Below are 20992 nucleotides of genomic sequence, written 5' to 3'. Positions count from 1 at the left end.
AGATCTCTTACGGCTTTCTCTTGCCTTCTGTTGGCCAAAGTTGGCAATACCTTTTTTTCCTCCATAAGAATAAAAGCAAAACTTAAAACTATTTACTCCTAGCTGAGGAAAGAGAGAAAGAAATTGTGATGTCTGATTTGCCACCCTATCGTGATATCCTTGCTGCTTTCCAGTTTTGCAAATGTATGGGCTTTTAATCTTAGCAGCTAGAATATGGATGAGAAGGTGCACAACTCTGGACATTATCTTAGCTAGCATGAGCCAAGAACAACAGCAGGAAATCTTAGCAGGGCATTCTTTTAGCCAAGCTGTATTCTGGCACCCTTGAGCCCATGCTCCTCAAGGGTGTTTTACCTGGAAGCTTTTACTGGCCTCCGCCAAGCCAGGAGCCATGTCACCCATTCTTCTGTGCCCAGCTTCATACTTAGTAGGTCGATAGGTACGTAAGTGGCATGTCATTGTCAATGGATGAATATAATGTATACCGTTACATAGTAAAGGAACACAACGTATTTTGAAGGTCAAGTTTTAGAGGAAAGTTAGAGGGGAAAAGAGTCATAGATTATGGCTTTGAGTGTGTTAGATTTGCCACTTCCAGTGGAAGAAGAAAAACATTCCAAGCAAGAGAACTGCATAAGCAAAAACATAGAGGTGGAGGGCATACAGGGTGATCATGTAGATATTTTCAGCCCAACTGAGACACCTGTGTATCATAACTGATCATTCTCATTAATACAACATTCAAATAAAAAGTATAAAGAACAATGACCTAACTGTTAGCATTTTGGGACCCCAGTGGGACATCCATTTTGCTCTTGACTAGTGTTGTAACCTTAGGCAAATCACTTAACTTCTGGGTTTATAAAGTGGGGGTGTGAGAACAGATTATCTCCCTTAAGATCTCATGTTCTGATTGTGAGTCTAAGTGGGTGGTTAACACCCAAAACACCACACAGTGCTCTCTGTACAAGGGAAGAAAAAATGTTTCTTTGAGGCAGAAACCAAAAGTGTCAGTAAAATGCGATTGGGAGTGGTGTTGTGAAGTTTTGATGTTATTTGAGGGTGGTATGCCTGGGATCATGTCCAGTCTGCTCTGCCAGTCAAACATTTGAGGTTTCCTTGGGTTATATGGGTAACTAGCAGGAGCCAAATGGGAAGAAAGTGCCACACTTGATTGTAAGCCAGGTCTGTGCATGGGTCTCACCAGTGATGTGAGGCTGGAGGAGCTGCTGCCTTTTCCTAGGCCTGTCCAATTCTACTCTTAGTCTGGCTCTAAGAAGGATGAAGAGGAGAGTTGCCCGTTACAGGAAGGAGGAGCAGGAGAGATGCTTGAAGTTAATGAATTTGTCTATAAGTTAATAAATTTGGGTTAGGTTGGGTTCTTTTGAACAGATGAAGCCAGTAATGTTTGTGTTTTGTTTTTATTTCTAATTTTTAAAAAGCTGTGTGTAAATTTGAGAACCTGCGACAGTAGAAAAAAATGAAGCAACTTGGATTCTAGTTCTGATTCTCTGGAAACACAGTCATTTGACTGCAGGCAAATGCTTACTTTCCTGCCCTAAGACTTTTTCCTTGTCTGTTTAATGGAGAGAAGTGTCTCTTTCTTGTCTCTTCGGAGATTTTTTATGGATCGAATGAACCTACAAGGGTTTGGGGAATAGTAAATCCTTCAATAAATGTAATTATGTTAATACTAACATTTTATAATTAAATATTCAGACAAGTTCTTTGGGTCTACCTGTGGTTTTTAGAAAGTTGATTATATATATATATATATATATATAAAACTTGCTTACTTGCTAACAAGAGATCAGTTTTCACTGTTGGGTGTTCTGTTTGTCTCAGAGTTGTGATAACCACAGTTTCTGCATCCAACTCTTATTCATTAACTTGGAAATGCAAAGAAAGCAGTAATTTCCCATGATCATATTTTTAATAAGAAAATGGGATTTTTAATTAAAAAATTATCTGGGCATGGTGGTACATACTTGTAATACCAGCTGCTTGGGAGAGTGAAGTGGGAGGATCGCTTGAGTCCAGGAGTTTGAGCTGCAGTAAGCTATTGATTGCACCTCTGCACCCCCACCTGGGCAACAGAGTGAGACCCTGTCTCAAAAAAAAAAAAAAAAAAAAAAAAGAAGAAGAAGAAGAATTAAATGGGGTTTTTGGTGTTCTTGTTATTTTAGAAAATGCTGTATATCATATTAAGTGGTCATTCTTTTTTCCTTTTTTTCTTCAGGTAAAGATCTTTAGTGTTATGAACTTCTTAAAAATAATCAAGCCAAATTAATTAGTGGGCATCTGTAATTAAAAGTGGTTTAAGTTTCCTTTTCATATTTAGCACTCAGTTCATACTTGAAACATTCCAAATCCAGTATGTTTAAAGAAGAGTCTTCCCCTCAGTGCCCTGGAATTTGCTCCCTGTGCCTAGTGAATTAAAATGGTATCCCTCTGGAAGCAAAACCTAAAGAAGTACATTATGGGAAAACATTTCTTGAGGATTGATCCTAGCATTACTCCTGGATTTGAGTTTCCAGGAAACTTTGTTTTCTGAAGAATCCAATGAGCTGGCCAACAAAGCTGGGACAATTATGAGTCAAACCAGACAATTAAAAAGTATGGAGCCCTTTCTGCTCCTGTCCTCTTTTCTGCTTTTTAATTTAGTGACCTTGGAAGTTGTACCACAAAGTTTCTTGTTTTATTTTAGGACAAGTTTATTGCAGCAGAGGGACATAGAATTTAGACTTGACACAGTGGAGCCAGTATTTTTAATATTTTTCTTCACCCACCAGATCATTCTGCTGGTCTGTCCGTGTGGAATTGCTTTATTTTGGTGACAGTTCCTGAGTAGTTGGACTGACACTCTGGTACTTTGTCTTTATTCTGTCAGGCCCCCAAGAAGACGGCGGTATGGGAAGCTTTGGGGAGGCCCCCTCAGAAGAGGACTGTACTGACCCCTTAGCAGGACACTTCAGTCTGGGAGGGAAGAGTCCTTGGGCACAGTCTTGATGTGGGCAGGGACATCTGCAGTGAGAGGATGTAAAAATCCACAGCCCTGGCCTCCCTGTCTCAGATACCGGTCAGGGGGGCACAGTCTCAGATGAGTGACTTGCTGCCTAGGCCCACCTTGGAGAATAAGTCTAATTTTAGGGTTATCAACTCAGGGCAGGGCATGTGTCACAGGCCTACGGTATATAGATTCTGGAGTTGGAAGAACTCTCAAGCAGTGGGTTACGGCAGGGGCCCATGGCCTGTTAGGAACCGGGCTGCACAGAAGGAGGCGAGCAGCAGGCGAGCATTACTGCCTGAGCTCCGCCTCCTGCCAGATCAACTGCAGCATTAGATTCTCATAGGAGTGCAAACCCTACTGTGAGCTTCACATACATTTAGGTTGAGCACTCTAATGTCTCATGATCTGAAGTGGAACAGCTTCATCCCAAGCCACCCACCCTACCCACCCCACTCCAGTGTGTGAAAAAATTGTCTTCCACGAAAACGGTTCCTGGTGCCAAAAATGTTGGGGACCGCTGGGTTAGGGGATCCCATGAGAGGTGTACACACCATCTGGCCTGCTTTTTGAGGAGTTAGACTCAGATGCTGCCAAGCACCAGGGTCCCTGGTAGGATGACAGATACAGGCCTGGGGAGGCCGGGTCTGTGTTTTCCTGCAGCACAGTCCACTTTAACTGGCGTTCAGTATTGGCACTACAGGGACTAGGAGAGTCTTAGGCACTTCTCAGAGAGGTTAGGAAGTGGAATATTGGTCTAGAACCTAAGGGCAACCTTTTATGTAGATAATACTGATTTCCTCAGTTGCAGTTTTGCCAGCAGCTTGGTCTATCCCACTTCCTGATTTGCCTTCCTCTCTTGGCTCCTCAAAGCTGTTTTTAATTGGGCACAAGTTATTCCTCAGTGAGATGGAAAGAACACTAGCTAAGGACTGGACATATGCACGGGAGTAAATCGCTCCACCCTGCCTATCCAGGCGTCTGCTTGCTCAGGTGTCAGGTGGTGATTAGACTCATAGTTTGCATCTGTGGTGTTAAATCTTCTGGAGTACTTATGTGTGCTTCCTCACTGGTCCCACAACAGTTATCTAAGTGTGCTAAGCAGACATGATCCCCATTGTGCAGATGAAACTGAAGTAAGTGGCCTGCTGAGGGTCCCAGTCATGTCTCCAGAGATGTGATGCAAAGCTCTTAATTCTTAATCTTTTGTGCTGTCTACGACATGAGCAGCCTTGCAGTGCACCAAGCGTCTCGTGGGGTGTAAGGCCTGTGAAAATATATTTGAGTATAAAATATTATTGGCCGGGTGTGTTGACTCATGCCTGTAATCCCAGCACTTTGGGAGGCCAAGGCGGGCAGATTGCCTGAGGTCAGAAGTTCCAGACCAGTCTGAACAACATGGTGAAACCCCGTCTCTACTAGAAATACAAAAAAAAAAAAAAAAAAAAAAAAAATAGCCAGGCTTGGTGGCGGGTGCCTGTAATCCCAGCTACTCAGGAGGCTGAGGCAGAGGAATTGCTTGAACCAGGGAGGTGGAGGTTGCCATGAGCCAAGATTGCGCCACTGCACTCCAGCCTGGGCGACAGAGCAAGACTCCGTCTCCAAAAAAAAAAAAAAAAAAAGCTATTATTATTCTAACAAAAATTTCTGTTGCATAGGAATAAAGGGCAGTATTTTTGTAAATACCTGCCATAAAAAAAAAACGTTAAATTAATCAACAGTAGGTATTGTTCATTCAATGTTAATATCCATTTTCTTCTTTATCTTAGTGTGGGACTTTAAAAGGGAGAAGCAGCAGCTAACAGTCCTCTTTTTATACAAGGAAGAATATTATATGTTCTGTGTAATTTAAACATCCATTGGTTTTATGAAGGATCTTAAAAAAATGTTATATTTATTGAATTTAAAGTTTATTTGTATATATGTAAGTTAGCATACATATACAGTTACATAATTTGGACACATTAGAAAAATACAAGGAAGAAAGCAGAAAGCATGCATAAGGCTACTTGTAAGAGCTAACCACTATCATAATATGGGGGTGTTTCTTTCCTGTATTTTTATGTATATAGATTTTTAACATACTTTGTTTCATGCCTTATATAAACCTTTCTGTATATGGCTGTTTACACATAATATTATATTATAAATCCTCAAGTTGATGCATATTCTTAAAAAATTGGGATTGTGTAGTTATTTATTTTATATATGTACTATGTTTATCCCTGATCACTGACTGTTAAGACTGTTTCTGATTTTTCATTCTTGTAGTTTTGGATGAATATTTTTCTATATAAGTTTTTAATTTTCTTATTATAAGTCTCTTATTTTCTTGGGTAGATTTTTCAGATGTAGAGTATTTGAACATTTTATAGGACTTAATATATATTACCTTATTGGTGTTCAAAGAGAGCTGCCAGTTTGCATCTGTCTGTAGCATGTGGGACATGCATCCCCCAGACCCTCACCGGCATGGGGAGTGTGTTTGTGTGTGTGACATGCATGTGTGACACACTCATGGACTTTTGTAACTTGCTTGGTCAGAAGTGGTATACTATTGTTTTAACTTCATTTCTTCTATGACTCATTATTCATGTGCATGTCTTACCCAGCTAAGCTTCCTGAAGATTAGGAAGCTCTTTCATTCATCTTTCATACTCTTCCCACCCACAGCATCCAGTACAGTGCCCTGGTAGAACTGAATACGTTGATTTACTGAAGTAACAAGAGGGTTTTTTTATATCAGACAATAAACCACATAAAACTGTTCAGCAAAACTCAGTATCTTATAACTCAAGTAAATATGGGAACAGTGCAAAGATGGCTTTCAGTGTGTGTGAGTAGTGAATGGAGTTTGTTGTGTATTTGCTGCTAAAATTACTGTTTTTAAAAAATCAAATACTGGACTGTTGTATGGATTGGCAGGATTTTCTTTTCATGTCCTTTATGCCAAGTTGAAAGGAAGCATCTTCAGATTTGAAGGCTTTGTGTTTATTTGTTGCATTTTAATAAAGAATACAGTGATGGGACACGCTTTGCACAGTTTAGTTCAATTTTTAACAATATTGATTGATGTTAGTTTTGTTGAACACCATAATACAGATACTTTGCAAGAGTTTTCACTGTGGATTCAATGGAAAATAATATTAGTGAGAACAGAATGTTTTCCGGAAGGATTGTATTTTTTTTAAAGCTCCAGCCTGCCAGTTTTCTTATAAAATGCTCATGTTCTCTTCTTTGCTACCCACTGTCACTAAACATTCATTTAAAGAATAGGACAGATTATTTTTTATGATTTCTAAATGAAATTAATAAGTACAGTCTATATTGGTTGACATTAAGTAGAAATTCTTTTCTCCTTTTGCTGTGTTTTCCTCAGACATAAATGCCTCTGCTTAAATTATTAATTGGAATGACTGATTTCCTGCTGTGCCATCTGTAATTCAGGGGTCACATTGCTGAAAAGATGTATTAACTAATAACCTCCTGAGAGAAGGAGGTGAGGGCTATCTCTTTTTATCTCTTTCTGATTTAAAAAGATTTAATGGGAAGCAGTCAATACTCACAGCTGTTCTTCTGTCTCCTTCAAAAAACTCCATGATCAAAATTATCTATTTAACAAAACAGCCCTTTGTTTATTCTATTTTTGACTTACAGAATGATGGGCAGGGTAGCAGTTTACTACCAGAAATTGGTTCTTGTTCCTTATTGACATACAGGAAGTTTAAAACTTTACAAAAGCCATATTCTAATACAGTATAAAGTCTCTCAAATAATTTCAAATGTAAGTTGTAGTTGGGAAGAGAATAGTGCTTCCCTGGAGATTGTTTTGGGCAACTCACTCAGCTTCTAAAAGCTTTTCTTTGCCTCTTGGAGAATCAGCTTAAACACTGCAGTCAGTTACTGGTTTGTGTTCTCTTATTCTTTGTGTGTAAATCAGTGAGCAGTCATCCTATACTTTGTAAACCTGACTATTTCCTTTACTGGGTTCCTTTGGAATAGTTATGGGTTTCATTCATTTGCTTAATTTCAAATCAGTATGTTTGTCAATAAATATACACTCATATATTACATTTTCAGCTATTTCACGGCTTTAGATCCCATTGAATCTTTAGAATAATCCTTTGAAATAGATAAAATTATTCCCACTTTACAGATAGGAAACTGAGGCTCAGAGATTACAGATGGCTTTACCATCATCTCAGCAGCATATAGTAGAGCTGGATATTTGCCGAGGGTCCATATGCCAGGACATGTCTATGTCTTCCCCATGCTTAGAGTTTAGAAGAGGATAGCAGCAAACAATAAACTGGTATAGAATAGTCTGGTGTAACTTAGAGTAAAAAAAAAAAAAAGGCACAATGCTATGGGGGCCACTTAGACCCAACCTTAAGGTTTGAGAAGGCTTTTTAAAAACATGATACGTGAACTGAGGTGTGATGGATAACACCTCTTAGTAAGGCAGGAAATAAATACATCTTGAAGAGATGTGGGCAGAGGTAGTGCATGTACAAAGGATAAGAACATGAAGGTCAACACATGGGAGCATGGAGGGTGGAAATCCAGCAGCTGCACAAGGGGCTGGAACTCATGGACCAAATCATGAGTGGCTTGTGCTGCCTTAAAGCAAGCAGCTTTATTCAGAGGGAAATAAGGAACTGTTGAAGGGTTTCATTATAATCTAGGAGAACTATGATAGTGGTTCTAACTCTGGTCGTGGCAGTCAAGATGAAGAAATTGACATGGATTTGAGGAGTATTTGGAAGGTAAAATGGGCAGGATTGAATGTGGGCTGTGAAGGGAAGGCAGGATGAGCACTGGGTGTTTGGGTTGGGCACCTGAGTGGTTGGTGGTGCCTTTCCCTGAGCTGGGCAGAGGAGGAACAGATTTGGGTGCAGGGAGGGGTAGGCAGGAGGACCTAGACTATCTTCCTGCAACTGTGAGACATCTTTGGACTTGTGGATAAGGATTTATGAGTCATCAGCATAGAGATGGCATATGAGACTATGAGGTTGGCACAAGGGAATGTATAAAATTAAAAGAGAAGGCAGGCTAGGGTAAACCCTGAAAAACATCAGCATTTAAAGACAACCTGAGGAGGAGGAGGAGCCAGCCAGCAGACCAAAAGAGACAAATGAGAATCAGTGTGCTCCAAGCATGTGTTATGATACTGTGTCGACTCAGGACTTTGGGATACTTTGGTCTGCAGTCATTTCAATTTAAATGGATGGATATAGGTTAGTGATGATTGTCAACCGAGTGTCAGGCATGACTGGGAGTAGAAGCAGTGACTGTGACAGACCAGGACCCCACCCAGATGGAGTTTACCAAGCTGCTTTACTTACAGAGTCACCCAAGAGCTCCATTTAACAAACCTTTGATTGGGCCCTTTCCTTCACTATGAAGTACAAATCAGTATAAAGGAAACTCATAATATGGGTTTCTTGTGGAGACTAAATCCTTCAGGGTTTCTTTATTGAGGTCCTGCTTTACTCCAATGAAAAAATTCTTAACTACATCAAGGAGATCAGCTTTTCTGGGATGTCACTTGAGAAATTCCTCCAAATAGCACGTGGAGTACTTTAAAAATTAGTTGGCCTAACACCAGTGTGAACTTTCCAGCAAGAAAAGATTTTATTCCCCTTCGCAGATCATAGGTTACCCCTATGTTATAAAACCCCAAAGAGGAGAATTCTGCTGGTTTTTATGTTCTCATGTTCAAAAATATTTATCTCTGGTACCACCCCAGTGTTTAATTCAAGATAAATGTTTAAGAACTTATTTTCATGTTCAGATCTATCAAAAACTTACCAGGCAAAAATATTATTGAACTTGTATATCAATTTATTACCATTATTATTTAATAGTAGCTACTTATCAAATTGTCTTATAGCTTTGATTTTCGTATTCTACTGTAATAGGAATGTGAGTTAATGGGTTGTTTTATAGCCATTTGGTTATAATTTCACTTAATACCAGGCTTAGTTTTTGGTAAATGCATTTTAGGTGATCAGACCTCAAGTGCGAGCAGCACCTCAGCTCATTGATTGTCTTCTTGGCCACAGAGAGAGGGTAAAAGTGGGATCAGTTTGTTCTTCCTTTTATTCCCTGTCCTATTATCCATATTAGTATTAGAGCTGTTGGGATACTGGCATGAAAAATAAGCATTTTTTTTACTATAGTTATACTTGTATTATAAATCTGCTATATAATTTTAACCATTTTTTCCCTTGAATGGGGCTCGTAATTTGTGCATTTTGTGGTTTTCAATCCATTTGCTACAGCTGCATTCCTGATAAGTGGCTCAATTAGAACTCTAATATTGGTCTTAAAGACTCACTGATGTCTCATGGAAAACGTCGAAAAACATCTTATTTAAAGACAATTATGCTTAAATATCAAATGCTCTCCATTTCTTTTCTATCCCTTTAAAATTATTACCAAGACAGTTAGCATGAGAACAGCTCCTTCATGCTCTAAAATTCTTCAATTTTGGTCGGTGGCCTTCCCTAGCCCTTCCTCACTTGGGGGCACCCCACTACCTGTGGGGTTTCTGTCTGGGTTTTTAAAGTGCTTGCAGAATGTTGGTGATAATTATTTATTTTTACTGGGGAGCAAAGCCATAGAATTTTATGAAATGCAAGAATAATTGGAAACTATGGGGAGAAGACCAGTGCCCCTCACAGTAAAAATTAGCTTAAAGAACAGAAAGAAAACTGTATGTAGACAAAATCTAGAGATCTGTTTTAATTAGATCATTCGAAGGCAAACTCCGTCTTCTCACCACCCTCCAGATGGTCAGAATCTAGGTTTAGGAAATTACCTGGAAGAAAAGATATTCATGTTGCTGACAAGGTCACAGGCCTCATATAGAAGATTAGTCTGTCATCTTTATAAAGTTCTAGGGAAGGTATTAAATGAGTCTCAGATTTTCCTTGATGTTTGTTTTTCCTCAAGCTGTACCAGCTTAGAAGTATGAGTCCATTTAACTATTCACTTAGGAAAGCAGTTAGTATCCTTGTGCCTTTAATTAGAATAAGGCAGGAGGGAGCAGGTGGTACCAGTGGCACTCACCATATACATGTACAATGAGGATCCAGTTTATTCTACATCTTTTTAATATTTCGTTTCATAGCACGTTTGCTTTCTAAGGAAAAATACCATGGCCTTTTTGTTTGAGGACTCTGCATTTGCCAGTCTGAAACTCTCATAACTGGTTTTTTACAATCTGTTAGAATGACAAAATGATGTAAAATCACAGAGGGGGAAGGACAGGTGTGATTCACAGCTGCTCACGAAGAAGAAGGCATGTGTGGGCCCTCGCTTCATATGGCTTCTTCTCTAACTCGGACACGAAGCTGAGGTGGCCTTTTGACCAGGTCTTTAGATTGCACGGTTTCCATGTGCCATCCAGTTTTGGAGTGGTACCATTCACGGGCAGGCATCCAGAGCCCCAGGAAGCTGGCTGCATGCCACCTACAGAAAATGGAGCTCTGCACACAGCCGCGTAGCCACGCTCACAAGAGGACAGAGACTGGTGGCAGGATTGGCCGTTTTATTAACTACCATGTTTGGGAATGGGCCTTGGGTCTACTAGAGGAAGCTGCCGAGATGCTTAGAAGATGAAGTATGACATTCTTTTCTTTGTATACAATTAGAAGACATGTCTGTAATCACCTCATTTGGCTGGTATGGAAGTGGGGGTGGGAAGCTGTCTTTTCAGAGTGGAGTAGTTGCTGAATTTTGTGTTTACCTGTTGTAAGGATTTGGGAAAATGGCATGGAGCAAACAGTGTCCTGCAAAGTGTTAACAACCATTCATAGGTATTTGACTTTATAATGAGTGATTTTCTACAAAGTTATATCAAATGAAACTTTTGTGGTTACAATATATTGTAAAATATATTCCTATAACCACCAGAATTTTTCATTTAAATATTTTCTAATATAAGGACTTACTGCCTAATATATTTGTACAGTAATTTGTTAATTTAATAATATTTATTAAACATCTGCCACATACTAGAAACAGCTCCAGGCACCGTAGATAAAATGGGGAAGAAAACAAATTCACAGAACTTTCTCCTGGGGAGAGACACACAGAGAGAAGCAGGAAGTCCTTAGAAGGCATGGAAATGGGTGTTTGGGAAGTAGAGGACACCATGGGAGTATGTTGTGGAGTCACCCAGTTGCGGGGAGAGAGATGATCATGAATGGTTGTCAGTTCAGCTCAAGCAGTGGATGCTCCATTTAGAGGGAACAGCTGGGACACAAGCCTGGAGAGTGGGCTGTTTGAAGACTTGAAAGACGCTTGGTATGTCTGGGGCAGGGCGTAGAAAACAAGGGAGGAGGGAGAGAGATTAAAGAACCACAGAGTTTCCACAAGCTACAGTAGAGCAAAATCTCAGGGGAGGAGTTACAAGGAGATGGGATCCGGGCTGCATCCCAGGACCAATAATTGTGGCCAGGGAAGGAGGTATTCTTAACTGGCCACGTGTTAGGTGTGGAGTTAGCCTCACACAAATTAAATGATTCTCCAAAGCAATTCAAGCCACCATTACCAGAAGAAAGGGGAGTGGATTTTAGATAGGAAAAATCAGTAGCTGTCCACTAAAGCTAATGTTCTTAGCACAAACAAGTTTTCAAAATTCACAACAGAAGGAATATTCTGAGATACCTTTAGGAAAGAATTTCACATGCTCTGAGTTTGCTATAGTTTTCATCCTTTGTAGTGAACCTAATGATAAGATTCAGCATAAATTCATCTATTTTTAATTTCGTATATTATTTATATTGTAAAATCTTTATTTGAGATGGGATCTCACTTTGTTGCCCATGCTGGGGTGCAGTGGTGCGATCATAGCTCACCGCTACCTCTAATTCCTGGGCTCAAGGGATCCTCCTGCTTCAGCCTCCCAAGTAGCCGATACTACAGGTGTGTACCGCCACGCCGGGCTAATTAAAAAAAAACAGGTTTTTGTAGAGACGGGCTCTTGCTGTGTTGCCTGTGCTCATCTCAAATTCCTGGGCTCAAGCGATCCTCCTGCCTCAGCTTCTCAAAGTGCTGGCGTTATAGGTGTGAGCCATCACACCCAGCTAATCTTTATTTTTTGACTATATATTGGTGTCTTCCATTTTTTCACAAGATATGTGTAATAAATATTTTGTAACTTTAATTTCATCTGTTAAACATTGAGAAAGCTACAAATGTTAGAGGAATGTGAAAGCTCAGAAGATAGATTTTCAAGTAAGAATCTGAGCCCAGTAAATTATAATAGCTAGTCAGGTTTTCCAGGACTAATTATTATCTTATTCTCGCTAATCCTAGTTTTAATATTTAATAGTTTCTCTGGTTTATTTTGCACATCTATTAGTTGGTGGCTTAAACTCAGAGCTTCCCTGTGGAGCGTGGTGAATAGGTTACAAGTGTGAGGAGATGCCGGTTTGCTCTTCCCTCTGGGTGGTGGGTTGAGCCCAAGGTGGTCAGTCTGTTAACTGTGCCTCTAGTCTGAGCATGTTCCTTTTTGACTCCCTTGTGCTGTACAGATACTGGTATTTCAATATATGCCATGACACGGAAAAGAAAGGAAGGTAGGGTTTGTCCTCATTATTTGGATGGCATTTATTTTATAAATAAAAGGATAAAGGAGTTTCAAAGCAACAATTAAAGTGGTTCTTTGCATTTCGTGGATGCATTTGTTAATGTCATTTCTAGTTGGGGACTGGTTATGTACAAGAATACAACTTTCTAGTGCATTATGCCACAAGTGACCTGTAAAATAAAGACCCCTGGAAATAGAAAACACTGCAATTTACCCGTATGTTTGTAGACACTTGATCTAATTACTCTTCTCTTTAATTACAAATATTTTTCTTTGAATTTATTCTTTCTTTATTTAGACACAGACATTTTCAGGTGTTACATATTTTCCAAACTCATGACAGGCTATATTACTCATTGGCAGAAGAATGAAAGAATCACTTTACCTCTTCTGAACAAAAGCTATAATATAGCTAGTTTTCTTCATCCTTCACCAAAGCATAAGGAATATTAATAACTGTAATTCGGTTTGAAAATGTTAAAATCCCAACTAGCTAAACAGCATAAAAACTCTTTCCAGTGGACTCCTAATGGCTTTGAGATGAGCATGTGGGAATGTCTTAGAATAGCAGATATTTTTCTTATGGTGGCAGTTGCTTTCTCCCTACCATAAAAAAAAAAAAAATTTAGGGATGACAACGTATCGTCTACTCTCAGAGCTGTTCCATAATGGAGGAAATAAAATGATATTTTAGGATATGGCAAACAGGGAAAATGAGTAGTCAGATACTGACATGCACAGGACAGAACAGACACACTATCCCATGGTTTTCAGAAAGATAAGATAAATGACTGCATCTTACCTAATTCTCTTAGAATTATTGTGTTTAAAAGGATCAAGGATGACTGGATTATAGTTATTTCCTACACAGTTTAGGCTATTATCAAATCCATTCCTGGAGACTGAAAAACTGACAACTGAGGTACAAGAAAACAGCTTCTTACCCAGTATCTCACTACTGCAATGTATTTGATGTATCAGATACCAGATCCTTGAAGATCTCTTCCCACTTAAAGGAGGATCTGTGTGAGTTCTAATTTGACTACAAGTGATCACTATGAAAACTCTCTTGTTAATGTCTTGTATTGACCATTTTGCTGTGGGACATTTTGAGTTTAACTGTTTTGAAAGAAACTAAACTAATAATACTGAAACCCATTATATACATGACTTGTGCTGCTCTTGTAGCCAATTCATGCATTGAAATACTTCATGAATCCCTAGTTTAAGCCAGGCTACCTTAATAGTTAATGCTGGTACACAGCTGAAAGGCATGGTTCTTGGCTTAGAGGAACTTGAAGTCAGTGAGTTGGTAAACAGCAATTAGAGATAAGGAAAATTACTCTGTTGGATATAGATGGAGTGCTGTGGGATCACAACATTCTTTGCTTAGATGCAATTAGGGTGGGAGACATCCTAGGAAAGTTTCTTAGATGAGTTAATACCTGATTGTATGGTGTGAATTTTATCTAGCTATGTAGAGAAGGAAGATGGTGTTCCAGGGAGGAGTGTTACGAACAGTGCTGTGGATCATGAAACTTTGTGGGCAGAAGCAGAGGGGAAAGACAGATACGAAATTTATCATAGAATGTGTTCAACTTGAAGCATATTAATTGCTAATGGCTACTTCCTATCTCTTAATTCAGGTGAAGGAAATACTCATGACCAGCCAGATGTCTTAAGGAATGCTTTTGAAAAGAACAGAGGCGTACAACATTATTACGACAACAGAGAAGCAAGTTGGCTTTGAAGAAACTGTATTCTGAGGATGTTGTTTGCTTTGGGCTAAGAAAAGAAAAAATACAACTACAGACAAAGCCTTTATATCTGCAAGTATTATGGCGTGGTCGGTAGCAATGTAATTAGATTTACATCAGTCTTCCTGGTGAGACTTGGAGGCTCTTCCTCGGTAGACATGAGTGACCCAAGGCAGTCACAAGAAGAGAAGCACAAGCTAGGCAGAGCCTCTTCAAAGTTCAAGGATCCCCCTAGAATCATGCAGTCAGATGATTATTTTGCTCGGAAATTTAAAGCCATTAATGGCAACATGGGACCCACTACTTCTTTAAATGCCTCGAATTCCAATGAGACTGGCGGTGGTGGTCCGGCTAATGGTACCCCAGCTGTGCCCAAGATGGGTGTGAGAGCAAGGGTGTCTGAATGGCCTCCTAAAAAGGACTGTTCCAAGGAGCTAACATGCAAGGCACTGTGGGAAAGCCGGTCTCAGACCAGTTATGAAAGCATCACTTCTGTCCTGCAGAATGGGCAGAGTGACCAGAGTGAAGGTCAGCAAGATGAACAGCTCGATCTGGACTTCGTGGAGGCCAAGTACACAATCGGAGACATCTTTGTCCATTCCCCCCAAAGAGGACTTCACCCCATAAGACAGAGGAGCAATAGTGATGTCACTATCAGTGACATTGATGCCGAAGATGTCTTAGACCAAAATGCAGTCAACCCCAACACCGGGGCTGCCCTGCACAGGGAGTATGGAAGTACTTCATCCATCGACAGGCAAGGCTTATCTGGTGAAAACTTTTTTGCTATGCTCAGAGGGTACCGAGTAGAAAATTATGACCACAAAGCAATGGTCCCTTTTGGGTTCCCTGAATTTTTCCGCTGTGACCCTGCAATCTCTCCGAGCCTTCATGCAGCAGCACAGATTTCTAGGGGAGAATTTGTCCGCATCTCAGGATTAGATTATGTGGACAGTGCCCTCCTGATGGGGAGAGACAGGGACAAGCCTTTCAAACGGAGGTTGAAATCAGAGTCGGTGGAAACATCTCTCTTCCGAAAGCTTCGAACTGTTAAAAGTGAGCACGAAACTTTCAAGTTCACGTCTGAGCTGGAGGAGAGCCGACTGGAGAGGGGCATTCGCCCTTGGAATTGTCAGCGATGTTTTGCACATTATGATGTCCAGAGCATTTTGTTTAATATCAACGAAGCCATGGCTACGAGGGCTAATGTGGGGAAAAGGAAAAACATAACCACTGGGGCATCTGCAGCATCCCAGACTCAGATGCCTACGGGCCAGACAGGCAACTGTGAGTCCCCTTTAGGGAGCAAGGAGGACCTCAACTCCAAAGAGAACCTGGATGCCGATGAGGGTGATGGGAAAAGTAACGACCTCGTCCTTAGTTGTCCTTACTTTAGAAATGAGACTGGAGGGGAAGGCGACAGGCGGATTGCGCTCTCTCGAGCCAACTCATCCTCTTTCAGTTCTGGGGAAAGCTGCTCTTTCGAATCGTCACTCAGCTCTCACTGCACAAATGCAGGTGTCTCCGTCTTGGAAGTGCCCAGAGAAAACCAGCCTATTCACAGGGAGAAAGTGAAGCGCTACATCATAGAACACATTGACCTTGGGGCCTATTATTACCGCAAATTCTTCTATGGGAAAGGTAAGGAAGAGCCATGGGCGTTTGCATGTGTCTCGGGAGTAGTTTTTTAAGAACCAGTCACAATGTTTTGCTTTGTGTTGGAGCACCTTCCTCAGAGTGTCCAAGGCCATAGTCCACTGGGCCTGACCTTGTTCTCCATCATGGTCCCTCCATAGCTTCCAGGCTAATTTTTTCTTTAGAAAACTGCAATTCCATGCCTTTGTTTATGGGTAGTCCTTAATGTGTAAATGCCCTTTTGGTTTCTCTTTCTGTCATTCTTTGTCTGCCAATTTGTGATCATCACAAATTCAGACTTGATTTAGATTTCATCCCTTGTAAGAAGTCTTCCCTGATTAATTCTGTCCTCCTCCTATTCCTCTGAATAATCTCTTATGCTGCTTACAGTGGAAAATTCTGTGTTTCCCTCACCTCTCTAATCTTTCTGTACTTTGCTTCTCCAGCATTGCTGTATGTGTTGGACATGTTAAATCTTTGTTGAAAGAATGCCTGAATTACCACAACAGACAAATTTTGTTTTCATGTAGTTCTATAGATGGGCTTAAATGTTAAGACACAAGTGATAAATTATTTAATTCTATGTCAAATAAATGGTTTTTGCTTTACGTATATCTTCAGGCTTGAAGGATGCATTCTTCAGAGGTCATGTAGTTGAATCCTCAACCTTTAAATAAGTGTCCCTAATTATCCCAGGGCTAGGAGAATCTTCTCTGATTTAAAGACCTACAGAGAAACAGGTTCCACATGTGTCAGTAACACATGCCGAGGAAAACACTCCGGCACCTCTCACCACCTTCTTATTGGGTGCAGCTGGTGTCCTTCACGCCTTCATTATAGTGCAGCTTACTTTTCAGAGCTATATTTTTCTGTCTTCAGTTTCACCCGTCAGCCCTCTTCCTGCTCCCAGGGATCCAGGGATAACCTCACAGAGTGCCTGAGGAGGCAGAGGGTGGGCCCCGCTACTCTCCTCCTCCTTTTTCTCAGTGCATAAACTATTCTGCTTCTAGCACAGATAGCTGGGAGCTCACTGTACTTTTATTTATTTATTTTTTTTTTTACTTTAAGTTCTGGGATACATGTTCTGAACATGCAGGTTTTTTACATAGTTATACTTGTGCTATGGTGGTTTGCTGCACCTGTCAACCCATCATCTGGGTTTTAAGCCCTGAATGCATTAGGTGTTTGTCCTAAAGCTCTCCCTCCTGCTTATGAGTGAGAACATGCAGCGTTTGGTTTTCTGTTCCTGTGTTAGTTTGCTGAGAATGATGGTTTCCAGCTTCATCCATGTCCCTGCAAAGGACATGAGCTCATTCTTTTTTATGGCTACATAGTATCCATGGTGTATATGTATGGTAGTTTCTTTATCTAGTCTATCATTGATGGGCATTGGGGTTGGTTCCAAGTCTTTGGTATTGTAAATAGTGCTGCAATAAACATATGTGTGCATGTGCCTTTATAGTAGAATGATTTATAATCCTTTGGGTATATACCCAGTAATGACATTGCTGGGTCAAATGGTATTTCTGGTTCTAGATCCTTGAGGAATCGCCACACTGTCTTCCACAATAGCTGAACTAATTTACACTCCCACCAACAGTGTAAAAATGTTCCTATTTGTCCACATCCTCTCCAGCATCTGTTGTTTCCTGACTTTAATGATCGCCATTCTAATTGGCGTGAGATGGTATCTCATTGAGGTTTTGATTTGCATTTCTTTAATGACCAGTGATGATGAGCTTTTTTCATATGTTTGTTGGCCGCATAAATGTCTTCTTTTGAGAAGTGTCTGTTCATATCCTTTGCCCACTTTTTGATGGGGTTGTTTTGTTCTTGTAAATTTGTTTCAGTTCCTTGTAGATTCTGGATATTAGCCCTTTGTCAGATGGACAGATTGCAAAAATTTTCTCCCATTCTGTAGGTTGCCTGTTGCCTCTGATGATAGTTTCTTTTGCTGTGTAGAAGCTCTTTAGTTTAATTAGATCCCATTTGTCATTTTTGGCTTCTGTTGTCATTGCTTTTGCTGTTTTAGTCATGAAGTCTTTGCCCATGCCTATGTCCTGAATGGTATTGCCCAGGTTTTCTTCTAGGGTTTTTATGGTTTTAGATTTTAATTTCATCAGTATTGGTTTCTGTCTTGAGAATATTTGTGTAATTTTTGACTGTAGTTTGTTTTATTGGAGTGGGTTGGGGAGGGTGGGTAACACAGACCTTAGGAGGTCACTCTGTCCACTTCAGTCCCTTATAACGTTAAACCACTGTGAAGCCTGTTTATTACTTTTTCTCATGGAGTATAGACTTAAAAGAATTTGTCTGCCAGATAAATTGTGATTATTAATAATTCCCCCTCCTGTTTTTGCATCAATCCAGACTTAGCATGTCTTTTGTAATCACATTATGACAACATGAATCAGAGAAATGATCTGATGCAATAAAGCTAAATAAACAGATATTTACACTGCATCTGGTCACTTAGTGTGAATTGTCTCTCTGTCCTCATACTGATGACATAATAGGACTGAAATAGTTTTGTCAACAGATCTTGGTCCCCTGTTGTGTCTCCTTTCCTCTCCTCCACCCTGAATTTCGGTCTTGGCTTCAGGTGTGCCTCAGTGTTAACACCATAGTTACTTCCTTCCAGCCAGTGGAATCAAAGAATCCTGGACCTGCTTTTTTGTCTCTGCTGTGAAAATAACTCATAACCCTCATGCCCGTGTTCATGCAGAGGTATCACATTATATCACACTGCTCAAGGATGCTCTCTAGGTGGAAGTTAGTTATTTTTGGAAAGGGAGATGGAGAGATAGGCTTCCTAATTAAGGTTATTTTTATTGATGAAGCCATGGCTGCCAATTCTTAATAAAATAAAGTCTGTTGGATTTATTATGCCCTGAAATCCCCAGGTAATTAGTCATTCTGGCTAGCTGAGTTTTGTAAATAGTTTGTGATTCAGACTTTGAAATACTAGAACATAAAATTATATATATGTTCATATTTATGCCAAAACTTAGTGCCAGCGTCTCATTCATATGCTGTTGCACATGTCTGAGTGTAAGTGGAATGAAAAACTGTTGTTTTGTGCACCCCGGTCACCACCATTTGATTCATTAATGTCCCCAGGGTCTGTTCCCCGAGATGATTTTAGGTTGCTAGATTCTGTTAGTTTTCTTGACTGCTACTTGTAGTTTTTCTCTTGAATTCTCAACTGTCACTTCTTGGTAGTTTTAAAGACTCCTCTGCAAGTGATTTATTTCCTCCACCTTTTCTGATGAGCTACTTAGTTTTTCAAGAGCATTGCAAATGACATCATCAAACTGCTTAGGTTTGAATGTGAAATAAATAAGCTCCAAAGAAGAATCTGAGTGTAGACACCCTGTCAGTGAATTGTGGGTGGATGTACGCTTATCGTTTGGCATTTTGGTGCTGTTGGGCACACTCTCTGGTTCTGAGCTTTGCAGTGGATTTATAAACGAGTCAGAAAGCAGAATTCTAGACTATAGTCACGCATCAGTTAACAACAGGGATATGGTCTGAGAAATGTGTTATTAGGCAATTTCGTCATTGCGTGAACATCATAGAGTATACTTACACAATCCTAGATATATATCTTTATTCATATATATATATATATTTTCATATTGAAAACCAAATGTCCCAGCACCATTACTGAATATCAGACATTTCCCCTTATTCATCTGCACTGCCAATATCAAGTGCCATGCATCAGATTTCTGTATATGCTCCATCATGATTTTATGGGACCACCGTCATGTATGTGGTCCATTGTTGACCGAAATATCCCTATGCGGTACATGACTGTGCTTTGCAAAGCCCACAAAATGAGGGAGTGGGGAGGCAATCCGTGAGGTCACTTTGTCTTCAGTGTTCTGTGATTCTGTGCTGTGGAAGGTGCTGTTGTGCCTGCAGATGGGCTCGGGCTGGGGAAGGAGCGGCCACCAGGAGCGAGAAGAAGGCCGAGCCCCGGCTGCTCTGTTCTCTCTCCAGCGCAGCTGTGAACTGTGTCCTGCCTCCTCCTATATTTAGCTCTTCCCCTGTGGTCCAGTGTGACTTCAAAGTGAAATTGGTTACAATGGCATCTGCTCCTGCTCTTGCTGGTCTCTTGTTGAGCCATTAAGGACTCCAGGCAGAGGCAGCAGCCCAGATTCTTAAGTGAAAAGTACAGTGAGGTGGAGGCCTCCTATGGTGTGGGAGTAGATTCCCATTCCCGCTTCAGCCACTGGACACAGTTGTGCAAGACCCTTCTGTCTGCAAACATCATGAGTTGGGTGAGCTTCATTGTATTTAAAAACAGAGGGCCTGGGCAGACTGGCACAGATAACGATGTTTTTGAGATAGCTTTTTTCTTTCCCTTTTTTGCTTTTCCCTTCTCTCAAGGATTTTCTCTTTGGAAACTGACTTTCAGGGATCTATCTTTCAATACTTTCCAGAGTGCTTTTATTTTGTTCTGTGCTTCAGGGTTCTGTGTAAAACTTCATTTTCAAGAGAATTAACTGGCTCCCAATCATGGCAAATGTTTAAAGTGCGATACTTTAATAATGTGATTTCTTCTTTATTGGGTAGTTAATGTGAAATGTCTGCTTTTGATGCTGAGGTGTATTTCTGTGACACATCATCACTGAAAGGCTGTTGAATAACTTTGTGAAAGGATTTCTGCAGGGGAGTGGCAGGACACAGGAAACTGTGTGACAACATCGCTTGCCCAGGCAAATCCATCTGTAGCTTTCAGTGAAATAGCTTTTCTTTTTTCTTGAAGACAGAGTCTCGCTCTGTTGCCCAGGCTGGCGTGCAGTGGCGCAATCTTGGCTCACTGCAACCTCTGCCTCCCGGGTTCAAGCAATTCTCCTGCCTCAGCCTCCCAAGTAGCTGGGATTACAGACATGTGCCACCACGCCCGGCTAATTTTTGTATTTTTAGTAGAGATGGGGTTTCGCCGTGTTGGCCAGGCTGGTCTCGAACGCCTGTCTTCAGGTG

The 20992-nt window shown here is 40.5% G+C and overlaps 1 protein-coding gene across 11 annotated transcripts in view; it reads left to right on the top strand.

Moving 5' to 3' along the window:
- Window positions 1–20992, top strand: part of SIPA1L2 (signal induced proliferation associated 1 like 2) — a 232532-nt gene that overhangs the window by 100634 nt on the left and 110906 nt on the right. For all 11 annotated transcript variants that reach the window (NM_001377488.1, XM_017001896.2, XM_047426142.1 and 8 more), the window contains one exon: window positions 14255–16006. In NM_001377488.1, coding sequence (NP_001364417.1) covers window positions 14524–16006 — 1483 coding nt within the window. In that variant the 5' untranslated portion in view covers window positions 14255–14523. The remainder of the gene's footprint in view (window positions 1–14254; window positions 16007–20992) is intronic.

The sequence above is a fragment of the Homo sapiens genome, chromosome 1 (assembly GCF_000001405.40).
Source record: "Homo sapiens chromosome 1, GRCh38.p14 Primary Assembly".
Classification (NCBI taxonomy): domain Eukaryota; kingdom Metazoa; phylum Chordata; class Mammalia; order Primates; family Hominidae; genus Homo; species Homo sapiens.
Note: the sequence above shows the minus strand (reverse complement) of the source record. Positions and strands in the feature narration are given on the sequence as shown.